Below are 26,210 nucleotides of genomic sequence, written 5' to 3'. Positions count from 1 at the left end.
TTGCAAACCATAGGCTCACTTAAATACACAAGGAGGCCATGCCAGCCTCCTTCAGGCAGGGCATGCCCCACGACCCTCCCCACATCACCCCACCAGCTCTCAAGGTCCCCACCTCCCCTGGCCCCTTCACTAGCTAGCCCTTATAGAAACTATGATAAGTGACCTCCAGCTGAGAACCATCTACTGATCTATCTCAAGATAAGGAAGTGTAAAAGAGTCTGTTCTTCAAGGGCTGAAGAGGTGAGCAGCCCATCCCTAGGGCTGCCCTTTACTGAGAACCAAGAGACAAGGAAGAAATCACAGACTCTGGATCCTGAGATAAGCTGAAAACATTAGTTCAGGGATGATGCAAAGAAGCATCTGAAGAATGACATCCAAAACATGATTCAGTCTGCTTATCAGAGTATAATACTGAAAAACCACAAATCAAATTGTTAGAAAGAATGAATAACAGCCAGTATTTGATAGCACAATAGGGTGACTATAGTCAGTAACAATTTAATTATACCTTTAAAAATAACAAAGTGTATAATTGGATTGTTTGTAACACAAAGGATAAATGCTTGGGAGAACAGGTACCCCATTTTACAGCATGTGATTTTACACATTGCATGCTTGTACCAAAACATCTCATGTACTCCACAGATACATATACCTACTATGTACCTGTGACAGCCAGGTTCCCATTAGCAATCAGAATAGTCAGTTTCCACTAACTATTAAAATTCTGATGAATGTATAAGTTAAACATTAAAGAACTGGAGAAACTGGTGCCTGAGTACAAGGGCTGGAATATGAAAACAAACCCATTCAGACCCCCGCCTTGGCTTCTTAGACCCCAAAGTCTTTCTCAGACCCTGAAGTCTGATGGAACGATAAAAGCACTCTTGCGGATATACCTTGTACCAGGGCCCACTTTAGATTAAGAAACTTTCCACGGCTCTAGAGAAAACTTTCCAGACCCCGGACCCTAAAGATTAGATATAGATTGAATGAAACACTCCTGCTTGTAGGTGCACTCCTGCACATAGGCATGAAGCTTAATATGTATATAAGCACTAGAAAAAACCTTGTAATTTTGAGTTGGTCTAGTGAGTTACTCCAGCCTTCTCCCTGTAACCAGTTGCGGAAATAAACTGCCTTCTTTCCCAGTCTGTCTGTATCTCATTATTGGATGGTGAGAACAACCAGCTGGACCTCATTCTGTTCAGGAACTTACCCACAAAAATCAAAAATTAAAAAAATAAATAAAAAGAAAGACCATATATCAGTTACATCAACAGAAGTCAATTTTAAGCAGCTTCAAATAGAAACCTTTGAGTGGAATGGTGGTTGGGGGAAGACTTCCATATGTTAGCAAGACAGATAAAATAAATAGATGCCAAACAGCTGCCAGGACCACTCAACTTTTTCTCTTGGAGAGAAATTTTTAGACTCATGAGGCTGGACAGGCACTCCAAGCACTCTTTGAAACAAGACAAACCCAAAGGTACCCCAGTTTCCAGGTGCTGTGTTTGCATATGGTCTGCTGATATATTTGGGTAATATATCTATTGCTCAAAATCATGGCATATTTTGTTATACTTTTTATTTGAAACATGATTTCCTTATAGAGTTTTTGTTGTTCATTATGTGGTTCACATTTGTCTTTCTTTTCTCATCTTCAAGGAAGACACACATTCTTTTTTCACTACATCACTTGGTTCACCACATCACTTACTGGAGGAGGGGTAGTTCTAGCGGCAGAAAAACAAAGGTTTATGATTATAGGCTTTAGCAAAGTGCAAGTGGCACCATTTCTTAGCTTTTCTAGCCCCAGGAATGAAATAAGCAGAAGGACACTTTCTCCTTAATTTCTTCCTTTTTATTTCATTCAGGAGTACATTTGGCATTAAGATGAAAAGTTTACCAAAGATCTAAGAAAGAGATGAGGCTTCAATGAGTCATTTAACCTGGCAGTCCTTCTATATGAGTTCCACTTCCTTTAACATCTGAATGTCACTGCATTAAAAGACAGTAGAATTTCTCCCAGTTATTTATTGGACAACTTGCAAACTGCCACATCACTAGATTTTGTAGGAGATTTAAGTTTTTCTCTTCTATTTATTGACTCATCTTTCTCCTCCTGCATTCTCATCTCTAATTTCTTGTTTCTGCATTATAAAGATAGCTGATAACATTTGAAAGTTTAATAATTAATTCAACAAACATCCTGACAATTTACTGCATACAAGCCCTGCATACAGAAATCTTGCTTTCTAGTCGGGGAGTGATGCAGCAAGAAACAAGAAAAAAATTTAAAAATGTGGTTATTGCTGTAATAGATGTATGACATGGAAATGCAAACAGCCAGGGAAAACCAGATGGTCAGAGAGTCCGGAAAGCATCCTAAGACTATGAACTCTTTTAGATATGACAGTTATGTAAAACTGGTAATCAAGAGAATAAAATGTAACCTTTCCATGTTAGGCTTGGACATTGCTTAACAAGCTCACACAAAGATTACTTAACTCCACAAGAATTCAGTGTTTGATATTGCTATTTACTAGTTCATGAGAGAATTTACTTGTTAACCTAAGACCTATACATCTTACTAAAAAGATAAATGCAAGGTTACAGTACTATTACCCTATAGGACTAAGTCATTTTGTTCTAATTAAAATTTATTTCAAAATGCCTTTTGTGGTGGACATTACGTTGTTCCTTTAAACATTCTTTGACCCAGCTTTACCATCTTCTTATTATTTTCATTAATTAATGAGCTGAATAAAACCTTTGCCGTACATTCATTATATATTTGTATGAGACTCATGTTTTTACTTTCTGAGTATTATACTTTGGCAAAGTAAGTCTTTAAGGATGAATAAGAGTCTATCAAGAAGTCATATATTCCTTCTTTTAAACATTTTCCCCAAAATATTACACATAAATGGGGAAATAATAAACTAATAAGTTAAAATAAAACAGTTCATTTCCCCACCCTCCCTACCTGGGCTTCCCAGAAGCAATTAACTAAATTAGCTGGCTCTGTACTTTAACTCTCTAGTGGTTAGCTCACTAACGCTTATTTTTAGTCTTATATTACTCTCATCATTTACCTTTTTGGGATATTGTCTATTCACTCACTCTGTAAAATATAAGAATTTAGCTTATTTGCAAAATCCACTTCCCCTCCAAACTTTGTTCTTCTATGGTTAAAATTACATGTAAAATTACAACTAAAGTTAGAGTTGTAATGTTAAGTAATATGTCTAAACCTTTGTCTTGTTTCATTAACCTCAGAGGAAAAATCTTCTCATTTTGTTAAAGTAGTCATACCTCCACCTTTCCTTCACCGCTTATTCCCTTGACACCATCTACCATCAAGTACCTTTGTTTCCATTGTCAAGCTTTGTAACATTCGGTTAACGTGACTGTGAGTTTTCTTTATAGGTTAATTCTAAAGTTGAAAACCAGTTTATTATGACAATATAAATTATTCATTGGAGAACCAGGTAGTATGCTAAGATGATGTTTATTTATCTTTGAATGCAATGTCATAACCTCTAAAGCAAAAAAGTCAAATCCTTTTTTGTTTTGTTTTTTAGAGATGGAGTCTCGCTCTGTCGCCCAGGCTGGAGTGCAATGGCGCTATCTCAGCTCACTGCAAGCTCCACCTCCCAGGTTCACACCATTCTCCTGTCTCAGCCTCCCGAGTAGCTGGGACTACAGGCGCCCACAACTACGCCCAGCTAATTTTTTGTATTTTTAGTAGTGACGGGGTTTCACCATGTTAGCCAGGATGGTCTCGATCTCCTGACCTCGTGATCCGCCCACCTTGGCCTCCCAAAGTGCTGGTATTACAGGCATGAGCCACCACGCCTGGCCTCAAATCCCTTTTTTTAAAGCTATATCTGTTGCTCAAAGTTATGGCACATTTTGTTATTTTCTTATGCTTTTTATTTGAAACATTATTTCCTTATATAGTTTGTGTTGTTCATTCTGTGGTTTACAATTGTCTTTCATTCTCTTTAGAGAACACATGCATGCTTTTTCACTTCAATTTGTTCATGTGAAAAAATTCTTTATTGGTAGTAAGTGCTTCATTTTTCTTCTTGAGTGTATCCTTCTTGAAGTTCTTGGACTCTATACTTTTAACCAAATACTTACTAGAACTGCTAATAATTATCTTCAACTTTTTTGGGAGGCTTTCATTAGTGTCACTGTTTCTTAATTTATTAAAATAATTATTTCATAAAATTCATTCTTAATTTCAAAGAATAGATTCAAAAAGGATATAGAGGGGCCTAAAAATCTTGATGCTTTAAAATGCCCTTATTATGACCTCACTTTGAGTTTGGTTTTATCTTAGTTTGTTCTCACACTGCTCTAAAGAAATATCTGAGACTGGGTAGTTTACAAAGAAAAGAGATTTAATTGGCTCATGATTCTGTAGGCTGTACAGAAAGCATGGCAGCATCAGCTCAGCTTCTGCGGAGGCCTCAGCAAACTTACAATCATGACAGAAGGAGAAGGGGGAGCCAGAACTTCACATGGCTGGAGCAGTAGGAAATGAAAGAGAAAGGAGGTGCTACACACTTTTCAACAACCAGATCTTGTGAGAACTCACTCACTATCACAATAACAGTACCAAGGTGATGGTGCTAAATCATTCACGAAGGATCCACCCCCATGACTCAATCACCTCCCATCAGGCCCCACCTCCAACACTGGGGATTATAATTCCACATGAGATTTGGGTGAGGACACAGATTCAAACCACATCATTCTGTCCCTGGAACCTCCAAAATCTTATATCATTCTGACATATCAAAATACAATCATGCCCTCCCAACAGTTCACCAAAGTCTTAACTCATTCTAGCATTAACTCTAAAGTCAAAAGTCTAATCTGAGACAAGGCTAGTTAGTCCCTTCTGCCTATGAGACTGTAAAATCAAAAACTAGATACTTCCAAGATACAGTGAGGGTACAGGCATTGGGTAAATACTCCCATTCCATAAGGAAGAAATTGGCCAAAAGAATGAGGCTACAGCAAAATTGACAAATGGGATCTAATTAAACTAAATAGCTTCTGCACAGCAAAAGAAACTACCATCAGAGTGAACAGGCAACCTACAGAATGGGAGAAAATTTTTGCAACCTACTCATCTGACAAAGGGCTGATATCCAGAATCCACGATGAACACAAACAAATTTATAAGAAAAAACAAACAACCCCATCAACAAGTGGGCGAAGGATATGAACAGACACTTCTCAAAAGAAGACATTTATGCAGCCAAAAGACACATGAAAAAATGCTCACCATCACTGGCCATCAGAGAAATGCAAATCAAAACCACAATGAGATACCATCTCACACCAGTTAGAATGGCAATCATTAAGAAGTCAGGAAACAACAGGTTCTGGAGAGGATGTGGAGAAATAGGAACACTTTTACACTGTTGGTGGGACTGTAAACTAGTTCAACCATTGTGGAAGTCAGTGTGGCGATTCCTCAGGGATCTAGAACTAGAAATACCATTTGACCCAGCCATCCCATTACTGGGTATATACCCAAAGGATTATAAATCATGCTGCTATAAAGACACATGGACACGTATGTTTATTGCGGCACTATTCACAATAGCAAAGACTTGGAACCAACCCAAATGTCCAACAACGATAAACTGGATTAAGAAAATGTGGCACATATACACCATGGAATACCATGCAGCCATAAAAAATGAAGAGTTCATGTCCTTTGTAGGGACACGGATGAAACTGGAAACCATCATTCTCAGCAAACTATCGCAAGGAAAAAAAAACAAACACCACATGTTCTCACTCATAGGTGGGAATTGAACAATGAGAAAACATGGACACAGGAAGGGGAACATCACACTCCGGGGTCTGTTTTGGGGTGGGGGGAGGGGGGAGGGATAGCCTTAGGAGATATACCTAATGCTAAATGATGAGTTAATGGGTGCAGCACACCAACATGGCACATGTATACATATGTAACAAACCTGCACATTGTACACATGTACCCTAAAACTTAGAGTATAATTTAAAAAAAAAATTGCAAAAAAAAGAAAAGAATGAGGCTGCAGGCCGTATGCAAGTCCAAAACCCAGCAGGGCAGTCATCAAAACTTAAACCTCCAAAATAATCTTCTGTGACTCCATGTCCCACATCCAGGGCATGCTGGTCCAAGGGATGGGCTCCCAAAGCCTTGGTCAGCCCTGCCCCTGTAGATTTGCAGGGATCAGCCCCTGCAGCTGCTCTCATGGACTGGCATTGAGTGCCTGTGGCTTTTCCAGGAACACGGTGAAAGCTGCTGGTGAATCAACCATTCTGGGGGCTGGAGGGTGTTGGTGCTCCTCTCACAGTTCCACTAGGCAGTGCCCCAGTGGGGACTCTCTATGGGGGATCCAGTCTCACATTTCTCCTCTGCACTGCCCTAGTAGAGGTTCTCTGTGAGGGCTCTATCTCTGCAGCAGGTTTCTGCCTGGATATCCAGGCTTTTCCACACATCCTCTGAAATCTTGGCAAAGGCTCCCAAGCCTTAACATTTGCATTCAGTGCACTCACAGGCTTAACAACATGTGGAAACCACCAAGGCTTACAGTTTGCACTCTTTGAAGCAGTGGCCTGAGTTGTACCTGGCTAGAGCCAAGGCTGGAGTAGGAGGATCTGGGAGGCAAAAAGCAGTGTCCTGAGGTCGCTCAGGGAAATGGGGCCTTGGAACTGGCCCATGGAACCATTCTTCCCTCCTAAGCCTCTGGGCCTGTGATGGGAAGGGTTTCTTCAACTGTTTCTTAAATGCCTTCCAGTCCGTTTCCCCATTGTCTTGGCTGTCAGCATTTGTCTTCCTTTCAGTTATGTAAATTTCTGCAGCCTATTTGAATTATTCTCCTAAAAATTGACTTTGATTTTCTACTACAGGGTCAGGCTGCAAATTTTCCAAACTTTTACACTCTGCTTCCCTTTTACATTTAAATTCCAGTTTCAGGTCATTTATTTGCTCATACATAAGGACTTAGGCTGTTAGAAGCAACCAGGCCAAATCTTGAATGTTTTGCTGCTTAGAAATTTCATCCACCGGATACCCTAAATCATCACTGTCAAATTCAAAGTTCCACAGATCCCAAGGACAAGGGCACAATGCAGCCAACCTCTTTACTAATGCATAGCAAAAGTGACCTTTTCTCTGGTTTCCAAAAGTTCCTCATTTCTATCTGAGACCTCCTCAGCCTGGACTTCGCTGTCAATATCACTATCAGCATTTTGGCCACAAGAACTTAATAAGTCTCTAGGATGTTCCAAATATTCCCTCATCTTCCTGTCTTTTTCTGAGCCCTCCAAATTGTTCCAACTCCTGCCCATTACCTAGTTCCAAAGCTGCTACGTTTTCAGATGCTTTTATAGCAATGCCCCACTTCTTGATACCAATTTTCTGTATTAGTCTGTTCTCACATTGTTGTAAAGAAATACTTGAGACTGGTTAATTTATAAAGAAAAGAGGTTTAACTGGCTCACAGTTCTGCAGACCGTACAGGAAGTATAGTGGCTTCTGCTTCCGGGGAGGCCCCAGGAAACTTTCAAGTATGGCAGAAAGCAAAGGGGGAGCCAGAATTTCACATGACCAGAGCAGGAGGAAGGCAGGGAGGTGCTACACACTTTTAAACAACATATCTCATGGGAACTCACTCACTATCATGATAACAATACCAAGGTGATGCTGCTAAACCATGAGAAACTGCTCCCATGATTCAATCATCTCCCACCAGGCCCCACCTCCAACACTGGGGATTACAATTCCACATGACATTTGGGTGGAGACAGAGATCCAAACCATATCAGGCTGAAAATAGCTTTTTCCTCAGAAAATGAAGGAAACTGCTCCACTGCTTGCTGCCTCTAGTATTGTTGATAAAAAGTTTGATACTAGTTTGAAGATTATTTCCTTGCATATGAGGTATACTTCTCTCCCTGTTACAGAATGTCTTAAGCTCCTATTTTCTTAGAGTTTTGAAAATTGAAGACAATGCAACAGGGATATAGAAATGGGTTCCTTCCCATTTACTTCACTATGCTCTGGATATGTAAATTCAAACACTTCTCTTCCTTCAGTGTAAATAATATTTTAAACTTTCTTTGATAATCAACCCCTCCCCCATTTATCTTGTATCTCTGAGGGTCTTTATAATAAGAGGAAAAACCACTGCATTGATCTACCAGATTTGTCTTTTTACCCAATGAGACAAACAATAAATCTTAAGGCTTAAGGATAATAATCTTCTTTGACCCTGTGTCCTGCCCTCTGCCAGGTTAAGGGTTGGGCCTTCAAGGCCCTGAGCCCAGGCTTTGCTGTGAGCAGCCCACATATCAGTTCTCACATGCAGGGGTCAGGTGCCTGCAGCTCTCGCAGTCTGGGAAATCACACTTTGGTGCCTCCATAGTTCTGGGGTCTTGGGGTGACCTTGCTCCCATGGCTCTACTAGACATTTTCCTAGCTGGGACTCTCTGTGGTGACCCGGTCTCGTGTTTGTTAGGCACCGTCCTAGTAGGGACGCTCTTGCCTTCCCGCCCCTGTGGCAATTCTCTGCCTGGGTCCTGAGACTCTCCAAGGCATCCTTTGAAATTTAGGTAGAGGCAGCCAAGCCTTCACTTACATGTACTCCATAAGCCTGCAGAATTGGCACCACATGAACACCACCAAGATTTTTGGTTTATACCTTCTGGAGTGGAGTCACAGCTAGGGTGGTCAAGTAGCAGTGTGCTGGAATTCAGGAAGCAGAGACTTGAGGAAGCCCTGGGCAGCAAGCCTCAAGATTCCACAGCCTCCTGGGCCCCCCCTCTTAAAACTGTTCTGCCCCAGGGCCCTGGCACTCTTGGCATGTGATGGAAGTGGCAGCCTCAAAGATATGTGAAATGCCTTCCAAGTCATTCTTTGATTCTCTTTTATGAATAGCATGGGGCTAACTTCTATCCATACTAATCTTCTTATCAAAGGGTCACTTGGCCAGGCACACCCTTGGTTTTCTCTCCTAAACATGCTTTTTTATTCTTTATATTACTAGGCTGAGAATTTTCCAAATTTTTATGTTCTGCATCATATTTGATTATAAATTCTGTCTTTAACTCATTTTTTCTATTCTCATATTTTACTATATAAGCAGTTGAGAGAAGCCATGCAGCACCCTAAACACTCCGCCTAGAGATATTCTCCACTAAATTTCCTAGTTCATAGCTCTTAAATTTTGCCTTCCACAAAGCAACATGATATGGAAACATCTCGGCCAGTTCTTTGCCAGTGTATAAGAAGGATGTCCTTTTCTTCTGTTTCCAATAAGATATTCCTCACGACCATCTACGACCTCATCAAACTGGTCTTTCAGCATCCACATTTCTACCAACCTTCTGTTCATGACTACTTAGATCATCTTTAAGACAGCCTTTCTCGACATCTCTCTTCTTCTGAGCCCCTACCAGAAGCACCCTTAATGCTCAGTTCACAGCAATACGGGCTTTTTCCAGAATTAACTTTATAACTGTTTCAGCCTCTACCCATTACCGACTTCCTAATCCACTTCCACATTTTCAGCTCTTTATTATAGCAACAACTCCACTGCTCTGGTTCTGGTTTCTATCTTGTAATTTTGTACTGCTGTAACAAAACAGCACAGACTGGGTAATTTATAAACAGAAATTTATGTCTGACAGTTCTGAAGACTGAGAAGTACAGGATCAAGGTACTGGCAAGTTTGTTGTCAGGTGAGGGGTGTCCTGTCTGCTTCCAAGAGGAAAGCTGCATCCTCCTGAGGGCAGGAATGCTGTGTCCTCACATGGCAGATGAGTGAAATGACAGAGAGCACTTCCTTCAACCTCAAGCCCTTTTACAAAGGTGTCAATCTCATTCCTGAGGGATGAAACCTCATGATTTAGTCACCTCCCAAAGGCCATTACCCTTTAACAATGTTGCATTGCAAATTAACTTCCAACATGAATTTTGGAGGAGGCATCATCCTTCGAACCATAGCAACTATGTTTTTCTCTTCCATGCTACCAGTTTTCTTCCTAAGTTCAATAGTCATTTCTTATTTTAAAACGGGGGAGTGAAAGTTTCCCTGTGGTTAGGACATAGAGGAATAAGAATAGAATGTGCTCCTGCCCAAACTGTAAGAAATGGTCTTCAACAGACTAATGCATACCTTTCTTTAAAGGTATTAAAGAACTGTGGCTCCAAAGAAGTCTAAGAGGATCAAATTCCAGAGAGACAAAGCATTTCCTAGATGAGCAAGGACACAGCTCTCATAATTGGAGCCAGGTGCTAATATTGGAGGTAAGAGAAGCAGAGAAACAAGCCTACCAGAGAAAGACAGCCTTGTTTAGACTAGAAGAAACTAGCTAACTTTTGATGAACCTATAAGCTGACATATTGAATTTGAACTGTAAAAGCCCAAACTACAAAAATTAATTCAAGATAGACTGCTACCCTAAATATAAAGCTAGAGATATAATATTTCCAGCAGAAAACAGGAGAATATCTTTGTGACTTGGAGTCAAAGATTTCTGAGGTAGAACAAAAAAAGCAGAAATTATAAAATAAAAATGTAAATAAACTGGACTTCATCAAAATTAATAACTCCTGTTCTTCAGAAGACAACATTTAAAAAATGAAAAGTCAAGTAACAGACTGGATGAATATATCTACGCTATATATAAATGACATAGAACTATATCTGGAATATTAAAAGAGCTCTTACAACCCAATAATAAAAAGGTAAACAATCCAATAAAAATTGGGCAAAAGACTTGAATAGACTTTTCACAACAGATATACAAATGGCCAATAAGTACAACTGAAAGTACTTAACATTATTAGCCAACAGGGAAATGCAAACTAAAACAAGAAGAAATCTTATTTTATATCCACTATGGTTAAATTTAACAAGGCTAACAATACCAAGTATTGACAAGAAAATAGAATAATTGGATCTTTCAAATATTGCTTATGGAAGTGAATCACCTTGGAGAACCATTTGGTGGTTCCTTCTAAAACTAAATGTATACCTACCCCACATCACAGAAATTTCACTCATTGATATTCACTCAAAAGAAGTGAAAACTTATGTCTACACAAAGACATGCTCACAAATGTTTCTAATAGTGTAATTCTTATTATTCCCAAATGGGAAACAGCCAGATGTCTATCAAAAGGAAAATGAATAAGCAATTATAGTATATTAATTGAATGATGCTGGTGAGAAGTAAAATGGAATGACCTACTTTTACACAAGACAACATGGATGAATCTCAAAAACACACTGAATAGAAGAAGCCAGAAACAATAGAATATATCCCATAAGACCATGTATGTGAAGTTTTGGGTTGTTTTGTTTTGTTTTGTTTTGAGATGAAGTCTCGCTCTGTTGCCCAGACTGGAGTGCAGTGGCACGATCTCAGCTCACCGCAACCTCTGCCTCCTGGGTTCAAGTGATTCTCCTGCCCCAGCCTCCTGAGTAGCTGGGATTACAGGCATGCACCATCACACTTGGCTAATTTTTTCTATTTTTAGTAGAGATGGGGTTTCACCATGTTGGTCAGGCTGGTCTTGAACTCCTGTCTCAAGTGATCTGCCCACCTCGGCCTCCCAAAGTGCTGGGATTACAGCCATGAGCCACCATGCCTGGCTCCGTGTATGTGAAGTTTCAAAAGGCAGAACACTGGCGGCCTCAGTGGGAGAGGAAAATATCACGACTGAATGAACTTCATGGTGAGAGAAATATGCTGTACCTTGATTGGGGCAGGGGTTCCATGAGTGTATACCTTTGTCAAAATTCAGATCCCACATTTAAAATGTGTGATTTTATTGTATATTAATAACATCACAGGAAAGTTGAGTATAAAAATAAATGGTGAAAATGAGTTAACTATTTTGCTGTAGCTGGTGAAATTTTCTCCACTGTGTTATAACATGAGTCATCTTGCATGAGGGTTAGGTGACAGAACCACCCATATTTGGCAGGCAGGAATTCTACCACTGAACCAGTAATGCTGCCGGCCCCACCCATATTTGAGACAAAATTCATATATAGTCAAAATGACCCTGGAAAAGTCACTAGAAAAGTGTCCAGTATTTCACAATATAACACAAAAGCATTTCTCTAGGGAAGAAATCAAGTTAAATACCACAAGAAATACTTCACATATTTTTAATCTAGTATAATGCTAAACACATTTTAAATAGTCGAATCTTATTTAATAGAGTGAGATGGTCATGCTATGAAAAGCATGAAGAAACCGAGACCTACTAAATTAGAAAATTTATGCCTCCCATTTGACTGACCATCTGGAATATGTTCCCACTGAGTAGAATGAGAAATACTTAAATTATTTTTCTACATGTTCTCCATGTTCCATTGTATATAGTTGAATTGAGATAAGTTAAATGTGCACAATACATGACACTTTTATATGCAGGTCTGTTTTCCCACAAGACTGTGGCTTCATGGGCACATGGGTGGGGCTGCAGCACTGGCTGGCTTTCTTCAACGATAAGCAAGCAGGAAACTAAGCCCAGGCTTGGGATGCCTCAAAGGGCATAAGGGAAAGACCTTATTTGGTCACCCATCCCACTGATCAGCTGTAACTACCCCCTTGAGAAATTCACTTAGTGTTTTCAGAAAAGAACCCTCTCGTTTTGTCCTGGGGGTAAAATGCTCCTATCATTCCATTAATGAGTAGCAATGGAGAAGAGGAAGAACTGTGCTTCATACCACAGGCCAACATTCAACTTTTGCTCCTTTCCTCCCTCACTTTGTCATAGTTCCCAATTTTAAGACCTTTACTGAGTGGTTTCTTGATTTCTTTATTGAACTATGTTTTATGTAATACAAAATTATATTTTTTTCTATATATCTTTCAAAGATGTTTAAAAATCAAATCTACTGTTTATTCCCCTCCCATTCTTTTTGCCACTTGGGGTTTAACCATTAACTGTACAGAAGAAGGTAGTAACTTTTGCTTGAGTTCAATCCTATAGCTTTTAGTAAAATCTCAGATATCAATGATTTGAATATCATTAAATGTCAAAAATCTTTTCTGGTTGTTCCCTATGTCTATAATCTCTCTTTTAGGTTACACACTTCCTTATATGGAATCTTCGTCTGTCTTTATGTGTGCACATTATCTCCTAAAGAGGAATGAAATTAAAATCATAAACTATTGAGGGTCACAATTCCCTCTATATCACTACAGAAAGGGCTCCTAACTTTTAATCCATGGATGCACTTAAGTGGATCCAAACACATCCTGAAATTGTATACAGGCCATGTGCATTTGCATGTGGTCATCCATTTCTGAGAAAAAAGAAACATATTTTTATTCTAAAAAGTGATTGAGGCTAGCATAATGACTCACACCTATAATCCCAGCATTTTGGGAGGCCGAGGTAGGAGACTGCTTGTGAGCAGGAGCTCAAGAACAGCCTCAGCAATTTGGCAAGTCCCTGCCTCTACAAAAAAATTAAAAATTAGCCAGGTATGATGGTGTGCACCTGTAGTCCCAGGTACTCAGGAAGCTGAGGCGAGAGAATCACTTGAGCCCAAGAGGCAGAGGCTGAAGTGAGCTGCATCTGCACCACTGCATCCTAGGCTGGGCAACAGAGCAAAATCCTATCCCAGAATATAAATAAATAAATATAAAAACACAGATTGAAGGTAATGTATTGGAAGAAAAATGTCAGAAAGGTAGTAACTAGATAAACAGACTGTATTTCGATTTGTGAGGGAGTTTTTACCACCTTTATTATAGTAATGAGTCATTTGTCTATCAGAATGTGTTACATTTTTTGTTACACCGCTAATAATGACATCAAAATGTTATTTGTAGATAAGGCAACACCAGTCAGAAAACTCAATTAGGAAGTCCAGATCCTGAAAACTAACCTTCAGGAATCTAAAATATATTGAAAATGGTCTCTTAAAGGAGTAAGTGTATCAAAACCCAAAAAATCTCCAGGGACATTAACATTCATTTATACCAAAAAAAGTCAAAGTATGGAAACAGTTCCACAGACATTCCATATGTAGCAACATGTTTCAGAAACGCTTCTTGGCTTCTGAAGCCTAATAGATTAAGTCTGGTAGCTTGCTAAACTTTTTCAAAATTCTAATATAAGACCCACAGTCTCTCAAGCAAGGATTTATGCATAGGAGACAAGGAAAAAGTAACTGGAAGCTGGACAGAAAATCTTCTAATCCAGAAATAGCAGATAGGTTTCCATGCTGGTATCAAGTACTGTCTGGAGTGATGTGTTGGAAGGATTCTACAGCTCCTGAGCTAGAATTAATTAGTGATGTCTGTAAGGCTACAGGGAAGAGGGGTAGTAGCACATGTACCAGGTGTCTTATATCCCTGGCCTAGTGAGAGAGGTGAGGGCTACCATAAAGGCAGAAGAGCACAATGATGTATTAGAAAGAAAGGTAATAAGAATGGATATAGTGGGTAGGAGGAAAATATGAATACAAGACATATAAAATATATTACACAGATGGAAAAGTTAGGACAGCAAATAAAAACCCAAACCAAAAACAACTGGAAATTAAAAAATAAGAAAATCCAAAAAGAATCAATAAGTCATGAGAAAATGACCTATTTTAAAACTAAATCCATTCTGCAATATATTTATCCACCCATCCATATCTATTGAGTACTTACTATACGCTATGCAGAGTTGGGAACTAGAAGATACATTCATAAAAACAAGAATTGTTGCCTTGAAGAGCTTGAATTTCATTGAGGGAGACTGACTTGTAAATACAATTATAATGATCACTCTTCATAGTAAGAATTACAATACAAGTTTGCAAAAAATGCAATGGAGTCAAAAGGGAATATGTGACTTCCAGCTCAAGGGAGTCCAGTCAAGCCTCCAGTGAACTGGAACTTTATTATTATTATTTTTTATTATACTTCAAGTTCTAGGGTACATGTGCACAATGTGCAGGTTTGCTACATATGTATACACGTGCCATGTTGGTGTGCTGCACCCATTAACTCATCATTTATATTAGGTATATCTCCTAATGCTATCCCTCCCCCCTCCCCCAACCCCACGACAGGCCCAGTGTGTGATGTTCCCCACCCTGTGTCCAAGTGTTCTCATGGTTCAATTCCCACCTATGAGTGAGAACCTGTGGTGTTTGGTTTTCTGTACCGGAACTTTAAAGATGAGGGGTTTTCGAGATTTGTTGCTGTTGGTGTGAGCACTACAGCAAAAGAACCAGCAAGTGCAAGAGAGAGGTGATTTAAAAGGACATGGCATGTTTCTAATAAATGGAGACATTCACTGAAGCTGGTGGAAAGACTGGGGGAAGAGAAGAGAGGGGAATGAGTAAAAAGACATGACACAAGGCAAATGGAATGGGAAGATGGTGTACTGTAAGTGAAGCTCTTTAGACAGTCCTTCAGGCAGCAGGGGAGCGGGATAGTTTTCAAAGCATTTTCACATTTATGCCACTTTGATCTTCATAACAAATATATGAGATGGGCATAGATTGACTCTTCAATCCAGGCTAAATATGAGGAAAATGCTGGTGTACTGGTGTAAACATTTGAAAAAGTCTCATGAAAAGAAATGGACCAAGAGTGGGTGGGTTTAGCAGCAAAGCAAAGGGGAAGAATAAACAAGTTGAAGGGGGAAAAAAAGGTCTTTCTGTAAGATGTGAATTTCACTGGAGAGATTTTTAACCTATGTTATATTTGCTTAGTTATGAAAACAATATATTTAAAACTGCAGAAAAAAGTTAAAATGGCCATTTCTTGTGTTGGAGAGAGACAGAGAGAAACTGTGTGTGTGTGTGTGTGTGTGTGTGTGTGTGTGTGTGTGTGTGTGTTTTAACCCGGCAAATAAGACCTAAATCTGTACAAGATTTTGAACGCAGCAGCAACTGAGATTTTGTTAAGTTTCAAAGACCTTGGGTAAAATTCAACCCAAGTAAACAAACAGACTGCAAAACATAATGCTCAAGGGGAAAAACACAGATCTTTTTTTCAGTAACTGTCAAAAAGAGACTATTCCTAAAACAGTAACTATTTGAATTAGAAACAAAAAAAAATAAAGGCAAAAACCACATTCTGCTGCTACCAGAATCAGAAGCAGAATCGAAGAACATTAAAGGAAGTATCCTTTAGTTTGGCAGGACCAAAAAACCTTGGGACTAGAACTGGGCCCATTACATGCATTTTAAGGGCCCAATGCAAAGATCAGATGAGAGAATTTTAATCCAACAGGGTGGTTTCAAGAAAGCTACTTGACCTCTCTTTCTTAGTTTCCTCATCCATAAAATGAGAATAACTTTGTAAGAACTATTATTGGAAGTAGGAAGAAAAGAATAGAATATCTCTGGAATATATAAGTGAAAAAATGAGATTATATTTCAGATAAGACATTCTGAATGGCATTTCAAGGTCTCATTGAAGAGAGTAAATGCTAAAATTCAGCAAAAAGTATTTTATAGAATTTATATAAAATTTCTTTAGCTCAATCTGCTTTGACCTTCACATTCCATGTTAGAGTCAACACTTACAGTTTGTCACACATGCTCAAAGAATGCTCCTGTAGCAACATTAATTACTAATTCACTTGAAATTGAATGAAACTGCAATATTTGCTGAGCTCTAGGCTTATCTGATACAAACACTCATTTTACATTCGAGGAAATTGAGATCCAAAAGAGAAGGTAAGTGTCACATCGATATGAAGTGGCCAAGCTCAGTATAACTCCTGACTCAACAGGGACTCAGTGTATACTGGCAGAATAAAGCAATAAAACCAGCTGTAGAAAGTGACGTTCAAAATTATCCAGCCAGATTCTTCTCTTTTCACAAGAAATCATGATTCCCTTCTGCTGATCCTCTCCATGTTTGACACTAAGATATTTATTATCTGAGACAAAATTTCAATGCATGATGAATTTTCAGAGAAATTCAGTGAGGGCTAAAGAAAGTTGTAAGAGAAGGACCATCATAAGACTTGGTAAGGGCCGGGCGCGGTGGCTCACGCCTGTAATCCCCGCACTTTGGGAGGCCGAGGCGGGCGGATCACGAGGTCAGGAGATCGAGACCATCCTGGCTAACACGGTGAAACCCCGTCTCTACTAAAAATACAAAAAATTAGCCGGGCGTGGTGGTGGGCGCCTGTAATCCCAGCTACTCGGGAGGCTGAGGCAGAAGAATGGCATGAACCCAAGAGGCGGAGCTTGCAGTGAGCCGGGATAGCGCCACTGCAGTCCAGCTTGGGCGAAAGAGTGAGACTCCGTCTCAAAAAAAAAAAAAAAAAAAAAAAAAAAAGACTTGGTAAGTTAGCCACAGTTCCGCTGCTGTGCTGTGAGGCACAAAAATATAAAAACCATCATTTCCACATCCAAAGAAAACAGACAAGTACAAAAGTGATCCACATGAATATTAGGACTTCTACAAAACCAGCATAAGATTCACTGATAAGAAAGATCCCAGAGAAGAAAATACTTATCTACAGACACATCACACACAAACACACACACACACACAAACACACCCCTCCAGGTACACCTGACAGTACCTGAAAAATTATTCTTCCAAGTCACCCATCTCCCCACCCTCAGTGATGACTATGAGAAACAATAACAAAACCTACCCACAAAAGCAGTCTCTAATTTCCTTTTGACAACATTACTTGGAGGTGCATAGAGATTTTCTACTTATATAGCAACTTGGTAATAGACTAATTAATTTTTCCTTATAGGAAAAGCACTGTTAGCTTGCACATATTTGCAATTTTTCTGGCTTTTAAATTGTACTGTGGAAATCAAGACTTCAAAAGCTACAGATAAAATAAAGACTGATGCTGAAGTCATGAAGAAAATAATACGACAGTAATACAAATTGTGGAGGTGCACGGAGGAATTCAGCTCTTCGATGTTCCCAAACAATTAACCTTGCTGATATCTGTTAAACATGCTAAATAGTTTCAGGCCACTTTCAATCATTCTGGACAGATAAAGCATAACAATTATATTTAATGACAATTTTTCCTCAACACAATTTCCTATGTAGTAATTAAATGCCTTTTTTTTCTGTTGAGCAACAGGGTCCACTTCATTCCAAGGTTGCAAATTCTTATAATAAAACACTGATATAGTTTTTAGAAAACAACAGCATTTTGCTTTCAGCCAAAATTAAGTGAATACATAGACACACATAGGGACCCTGAGCTGCCACATACAACAGGAAATTAGATTATTCTCTGGCTTAGGAATGTCATTGTTCATATAATCTCTAAAACCCAAAACAGCAGCCTAGCATTTATAGAGGGCTCGTAAGTAACCATCACATATTAGTTTTTTAGCAGCATAATTTTATTTAATCCTTACTTTGTTATCAGGTAGGTATGAGAATCATCCCCATCCTATGAATGAAGAAACTGAGGTCTGGAGCAGTTCAGTGACTTGTCATTGGTCATACACCCAGAAAGTAAAACCATCTGGACTTGAGCCAAGGCAGTCTCACACCAGAGCTCTTTATTAAATGACATTGCCTCTGCAAGTCATATGGGGTTTTCTAAACTGCATATTACACAGTTTCTGGCTCTAGAATTTATATTATGGTCCATGATCTAGAAGGTTCACCCTGAGAAAACAGACTTGTATTAGAGCACTTTAAAGCAATGATCCTTGAGGGCAGAAGTAATATTTGCTATTAACTTTAATGTCACCATAATTATTAGAAAAATACAGAATGCTGGCCGGGCGTGGTGGCTCATGCCTGTAATCACGGCACTTTGGGAGGCCGAGGCCAGTGGATCACATAAGGTCAGGAGTTTGAGACCAGCCTGGCCAACGTGGTGAAACCCCGTCTCTACTAAATATACAAAAAAATTAGCCAGGCATGGTGGTGGGCTCCTGTTATCCCAGCTACTCTGGAGGATGAGGCAGGAGAATCACTTGAACCTGGGAGGCAGAGGTTGTGGTGAGTCAAGATTGCACCAATGTACTCCAGCCTGAGTGACAAGAGCGAAACTCCATCTCAAAAGAAAAAAAAAAGAAAGAAAGAAAAGAAAAACGAGAAATACAGAATGCATTTATTTAACAACCACTGTCCCTAATGGGCTTTTCTGGTAGCCTCTTCAAGAGACTATTTCCTCACAACTGGCCTGGAATAAAGATGGAGTCATACAACTTAGGCAATACCATTCTGGACATAGGAATGGGCAAAGATTTCATGACAAAGACACTAAAAGCAATCATAACAAAAGCAAAAATTGACAAGTGGAATCTAATTAAACTTAAGAGCATCTATACTGCAAAAAAATAAAAAGTAACTTTCAACAGAGTAAACAACCTACAGAATGGACGAAAATATCTGCAAACTATGCATATGACAAAGGTCTAATGTCCAGCATCTACAAGGAAGTTAAATTTACAAGAAGAAAACAAGCAACCCCATTAAAAAGTAGGCAAAGGACATAAATACTTTTCAAAAGAAGAAATACATGTGGCCAAAAAGCATATGAAAAAAAGCTCAATATCAATGATCATTAGAGAAATGCAAATCAAAACCATTACAAGATACCATCTCACACCAGTCAGAATGGCTATTACTAAAAAGTCAAAAAATTACAGATGCTGGTGAGGTTGCAGGGAAAAGGGAACACTTATACACTGTTGGTGGGAGTATAAATTAGTTCAACCACTGTGAAAAGCAGTATGGTGATTCTTCAAACAGCTAAAAGCAGAATTACCATTTGACCCAGCAATCCCATTACTGGATATATACCTAGAGGAATATAAATAATTCTACCATAAAGACACATGTGCATGAATGTTCATTGCAGCACTATTCAGAATAGCAAAGACAATGAATCAACCTAAATGCCCATCAATGGCAGATTGGATAAAGAAAATGTTGTATATATACACCATGGAATCCTATGCAGCCATAAAAAAGAACAACATCATGTTTAATGTGGGAACATGGATGAAGCTGGAGACTATCATCCTAAGCAAACCAACACAGGAACAGAAAACCAAATACCTCACGTTCTCACTTATAAGTGGAAGCTAAATTATGAGAACTCATGAACACAAAGAAGGGAACAACAGACACTGGTGTGTACTTGAGGGTGGAGAGTTGAGGGAGGGAGAGGAGCAGAAAAAAATAACTATAGGGTACTAGGCTTAATACCTGGGTGATGAACTAATCTGTACAGCAAACCCCTGTGACGCTAGTTTACCTACATAACAAAGCTTCGCATGTACCCTTGAACCTAAAATAAAAGTTCAAAAGAAAAAGATGGGGTCATAGGCACTTATGCCAAATGAGTAGTAACATGATGATTAAGCCAGGCCTTGGAGTCAGATGGACTGACACTTGAATTCAGCTTCTGTGACCAAGCCGTATGATTTGGAGCAAATTGCTTAACTTTTCTCAGTATCAGTTTCTACATCTGTACATTAGGAATAATGATACCTATCCCAGAGAGTTGTTTCAAGGATCAAATGAGTTTATGCATTTAAAGAAAAGCACTTTGAACAAAGTATGTAATTAATGGCAGTTCCTAACAAAATTTTAATGCATTTTAAAATTGAAATATAATTTACATGCAGTGAAATGCTTAATATGTGTATCATTTAATCAGCTTTGATAATGCATATCAAGACACAGAACATTTCCATCACCCTAGAAATTTCCCTCATGAACATTTCCCAGGCATCACCTCACCAGAAGCAAGCACTGAGCCGATTTCTGTCATCATAGATTAGTTCTGACTATTCTCTAATTTCATATACATAAAATTATACAAGTTATTTTTGGTGTTAGACTTCTTTCACCTACACCATACTATTTTTGAGATTTGTCCATGTTATTATGTGTGACAGTCTTTTTATTGTTGAATAGTATTCTACTATATTAGTCAATTTTCACATTGCTATAAAGAACTACCTGAGACTGGGTAATTTATAAAGAAAAGAGGTTTAATTGACTCACAGTTCTGGAAACTTACAATCATGGCAGAAGGCAAAGGGGAAACAAAGCATGTCTTACATGCTGGCAGAAGAGAGAGAGAGGGAGAGGGGAACTGCCAAACACTCTTAAACCATCAGAGCTCGTGAGAACTCACTCACTACCAGAAAAGCATGGGGGAAACCACCTCCATGATCCAATCACCTTCCTCCAGGTCCCTACCTTGACACGTGGGAATTACAATTAGAGACGAGATTTGGATGGGGACCCAGAGCCAAACCATATCATCTACTTTATGAATATGTAAGAGTTTATCCATTTTTTTTTGTTAGACATCTGAGTTGTTTTCAGGATTGAGTTATTATAATTAAAGTTATAAAGAAAATGTGTGCACAAATGTTTTCAATCCTGTCTGATAAATACCTAGGAGTGGAATTTCCAGGTCTTAAAGCAGATACTTGGACAACTTTATAAGAAACTGCCAAATTGGTTTTCAAAGTGATTGGAACATTACACAATTCTACCAGTAATGTATGAGAACTGTGGTTACTTCACATCCTTTTAACTTTTGGTGCTCTCATTCGTTTTATTTTTAGCCATTCTGATAAGCGTGTAGAAGTATCTCATTGTGGTGCAATGCAAATTAAGCACCACTGCTTGTCTTTGTTGGCTATTTTATCTAGTTTTATGAAGTGAATGTTCATATGTATGTTAAATATAGGTATTACAACTATTTTCTCCTAGTCTGTGGTCCATCTCTTTATTTTCTTGGTGGTATTTTTTGATGAGTAGATGCTTTTAATTTTCATGAAGTTTAAAGTATTTATTTCTTCTTATGGTTTGTGCATTTGTGTCCTTTCTAAGAAATCTTTTCCTCCTGAAGTTACAAAGGTATTCTAGCTTTTGTTCCAGGAGATCTCTGGTGGGTTTTTTTTTTTTTTTTTTTTTTTTTTGCATTTATGTTTCAGTCTGTTCTCTGACTCAAACTGATTTTTGTGTATGGTATAAGGTAGAAATTAAGCTTCTTTATTTTTTTACATAAATATCCGGCTGTTTTGTATTATTTGTTCAAGCAATTTTTCCTATTTCTTTTGAAGTAATGTGGTGCTCTTGTTAAAAGTCAGTTGACTATATATATGTGTTCCTATTTCAGAACTCTCTATTGTTTTATTATTTATTTTTATTTTTATAGGGACAGAGTCTCACTATGTCACCCAGTCTGCAGTGCAGTGGCACAGTCATATCTCACTGTAACCTCAAATTCTTGGACGCAAGCAATCTCTTCACCTTAGCCTCCTGAGTATCTAGGACTATAGGTACATGCTACGATGCCTGGCTAATTTCTTTTCTTTTATTTTCTATTTTATTTTAGAAACAGGTCTTGCTATGTTGCCCAGGCTGGTCTTGAACTCCTGACCTCGTGCAATCTTCTCCTCTTGGCCTCTCAAATCACTAAGATTACAGGCATGAGCCTCGATGTCTGGATTACTCTATTTTGTGGACTCATTTATATATAATGACAGCTATTTTAAGTTTAGATTTAAATTAATTTTATATCTATTTTTTCCATTTTGTAGATTTCAAATGCAGTAATTAACTTTGCTTATGATTTTTTGAAAAACTTTTTTCCCTTTTGATGTCATATGCATATGTATTTGTGTATGTATTCACTATATACACATACAAATATACACATACACACACACTAAGGCATATGGGTCATTAATATTCTTAGATTCTCCTAGTTTTTAGACACCAAATTTTTATAAGCTCCCTTATTTTTCAGAGATCAGGTTAAGCAGTGGTTTTTAAATTTTAGCAAAGCACATGAATTATCTAGATGGCTTATTAAACAAAAACAGATTTCTGGACCTTTCTCCAAGAAGTTTGACTTAGTAAAGTCAAATAGTAAGCCTGGGAAATGAAGAATTTGCATGCCTAACAAGCTCAGATGATGCTGATGCTGCTGACTTAGAAAACATACTTTAAACAGCATAGGCTGAGAAGAATTAGACGGCCTTTCTAATGTTCATACAGGAGCTTTATTGGAACTTTGATTTGCCTTTTCTAAAGACTAGTTCCATAGCCACTAATTAATAGTGTCTGCACTTGAAAAGACATCTGAAAAATCTGTTCCATGCACCAGAGCACAGGAGCCAGGAAGCATTAGGCAGATTGATAGTACCAACACTGCCTCATTTCCTTCTTCTTCCCTGGAAACTGGGTTTTGGTCTGTGAACAGACACAGGCACATCTTTATATATACTACAGCTGAACAGAGCCCTGTGATGAACATGCACAGCAAAACAGGCATTCTTTGCCCTGCATCCTCCGTCAACAATCAGAGGGAGCTTTATTTTCCCCTTAATGGTCGACTGGTCTCTAAACCAGAAAAATTTTTATAGCCAAGTCCTTTAAAACTTTTCTAAATTTATGTTGTAAGTAGCTGGCATCTAAGTGAATATTCTTGACAGAACAGACATTCTGAATTAAAGTTCGATACTCTCAAAGCCAAAAAACCTCAGTAATCAAAATCCCAACCCAAACCCCTAAGCTTCTCTACGTATTTGAGGACAAGCAGATAACTTTTTAGTTTTCCTTTCCAATAGATCAAGAACATGTGGAAAGGCCGGGCATGGTGGCTCATGCCTGTAATCCCAGTACTTTGGGAGGCTGAGGCGGTAGGATCACTTGAGTTCAGGAGTTCGAGACCAGCGTGGACAATATGGCAAAACCCCATTTCTCCTAAAAAATACAAACATATTAGCCAGGCGTGGTGGCAGGCGCCTGCAATCCCAGCTACTTAGGAGGCTGAGGCAGAAGAATCACTTGTACCTGGGAGGTGGAGGTTGCAGTGAGCCGAGACTGTGCCATTGTACTCCAGCCTGGGCAACAAAGTGAGACTCCATCTCCAAAATAATAATAATAATAATAATAATAATAATAATAATAATAATAATAATAATAAAAGAATGAGTGGGAAGAAGTAACTGTACCACAACTATACATCAATTTTGTAGAATGTTTATACTTGTACAAGGACTCAATAAAGGTACACTGTGTTGTATTTTTCTTTTATGAATGGTTAATTACCTATTTGGTCCTTGAAACCATGTTAATGAAAAATGAATTCCTACTAAGTATTTATACTGAAACTTCCTTAAAGATGTCAAAAAGAGAAAAATAATTAATCTACTTTGTAAAAAAAAGACAAAGTTATTCTGACTAGAGAAGGAGGAATGTGTATTTGAAATGCTCCCTCTTACATGTCCGCCCATCTCAGCAGCTTTCTAGCGGTTCTACAAGCAATGTGAACATCACAGCTCAATCATTTATTCACTGGCATTTGGGAATACTAGATAGAAAGTGCTTCATCCTCAAAGGAAGGCCCATTCATGACTAGCTAAGAGCATACACCACACTTACTCTAGCAGTGAGAAATTCAGAAATAAAATGACAGCAGGCCTGTGACTGTAACTAATGTGATATTCAACAGCTCCACCCTTCTATCTGGCACGTGCATGACATATGACTTACGGTGCCAGAAGAAGAGAGCCAATGCCACACCTCACCTACATTGTTCTCCCAGTTCCCAGAAACCTTTGGGTTATGAAGGATTATTTTTCTTTCTTTTTTGAAGGAGATTAAAAGGGCATCAAATGAGTTACCAATGGAATTTTCAGACATCCTACAACTTCTCTTGAACATGCCATGTGGTTGTAAGCTATAAAATCATCTTTTCCCCAGTGCTTTTAACCAGCAGTGAATGCAATCCTACTACTCTCTACAGTGAGCACAGAGACTTAAATTCTACTAAGTGTGGGAATGAGCCTGGCCCCTGACCCTTTCTTGCTACACAGTCTTAGAAAATCTTTTTACTTGTCTCCCCTTTGGTTTCCCAGAACAGAAATCCCTATTCCAGATGGTTGTTATGAGTTGTGCTTATAGTATTTTTTTCAAAGCTCATAGCACAATGCCTGACTCACAATACAGACTCCACAAATGGTGGTTCTAAGCATTCTCTCTCTCCCCTCCCTCCATCTGTCCCTCCCTCCCCAACACTCTATCTATATATACGTACATATATATGCATATACACATGTGCGCACACATACACACGCACAGAGATACCATTCAATAAATTATATATATTTATATGTACATGTTTTTGTATGTGTATAAGGATGTATTTATATGCACGCAAATGCATACTTTGTTGATTAGTGTCTATCGTTACTGTGATAATTATCATTTGAACTAGAAAAAATAATCGAGACCTTTTGACTTCAACTTAGAGTCTGCTCCAGCATGGATATAAAATAAATACAAAGACAACTCCCCTAAAGACCTTAAGGAATAACAAAATTTTGTCAAAGTCTCCTGTGGACACTGTAAATATGAATAAACAGTGTATTACACAGCACCACTTCTTTACTCATCTTGTTACCTGAAGTCTTTTATTACATAAGTATCTACCCCCATTTCTCTTTTCTTTCTAGCTGAGACACCTGCACAAACATCTCTGCATGCTTTGTCTTTGCCCTCTGACCACCTCTTTATTATATAGACAATGCAGGCTTCCTTCAGTTTCTACCATTGTATCTTTACCTGTGGTAACACATCCCATAAGTGATGGTATCTTTTCAAGATAGAAAAGATCTTTCCTTTAAGAGACAAAGTAAAGAGAAGAAGGTCAGGGAAAGGGGGAGGAGAAAGGCTGCAAATATGGATAAATATCTTTAAATGTTCACATTTGTCTTAGAAAATAATAAAGTCACAAACTCATACCTTAGCAGTCCTAAACTTTTTGAATCCTGGACATAAATTTCAGGGCAACATTGGGATTAAGAAAATCCCCTCAGGCCACCACAAAAGGGACGGTTGTCTCAGCCTTCACACAGGTTCCAGTATAACCTTCTTCAAATCCCTGAGGATGGAGGTTTCTTCCAAGTCTACAAAATCAACAGAGAAAGACAATGTCCATAAAGAAAAACAAAAACAAGACAGAGTGATATTAAATTAAAGGCCATTTGGTTTGGAGAGACTAAACAAAAGATACTTTAGATTCTGTTTGTCATAAAATTGCAGAATCCCTGAATGGATTCAGTCTTGACTGAATTAAAGAATCATACCAAAAAAAAATTTCATAGTATATCAAGGCTGGAAGGTATTTTAGGACTTAACAAATCAAATTTGCTCATTTAACTTACAGGGAAACT

The 26,210-nt window shown here is 38.5% G+C and overlaps 1 protein-coding gene across 4 annotated transcripts in view; it reads right to left on the bottom strand.

Moving 5' to 3' along the window:
* The window catches only part of SGCD (sarcoglycan delta), a 1,039,957-nt gene that overhangs the window by 617,990 nt on the left and 395,757 nt on the right, over positions 1–26,210 (bottom strand). For all 4 annotated transcript variants that reach the window (XM_047417519.1, XM_047417518.1, XM_017009724.2 and 1 more), the window contains one exon: positions 25,780–25,943. The gene's annotated coding sequence lies outside the window, so the exon portion shown is untranslated. The remainder of the gene's footprint in view (positions 1–25,779; positions 25,944–26,210) is intronic.

The sequence above is a fragment of the Homo sapiens genome, chromosome 5 (assembly GCF_000001405.40).
Source record: "Homo sapiens chromosome 5, GRCh38.p14 Primary Assembly".
Classification (NCBI taxonomy): domain Eukaryota; kingdom Metazoa; phylum Chordata; class Mammalia; order Primates; family Hominidae; genus Homo; species Homo sapiens.
The sequence above is the reverse complement of the archived record's forward strand: the minus strand, read 5'-3'. Positions and strand labels throughout refer to the sequence as shown.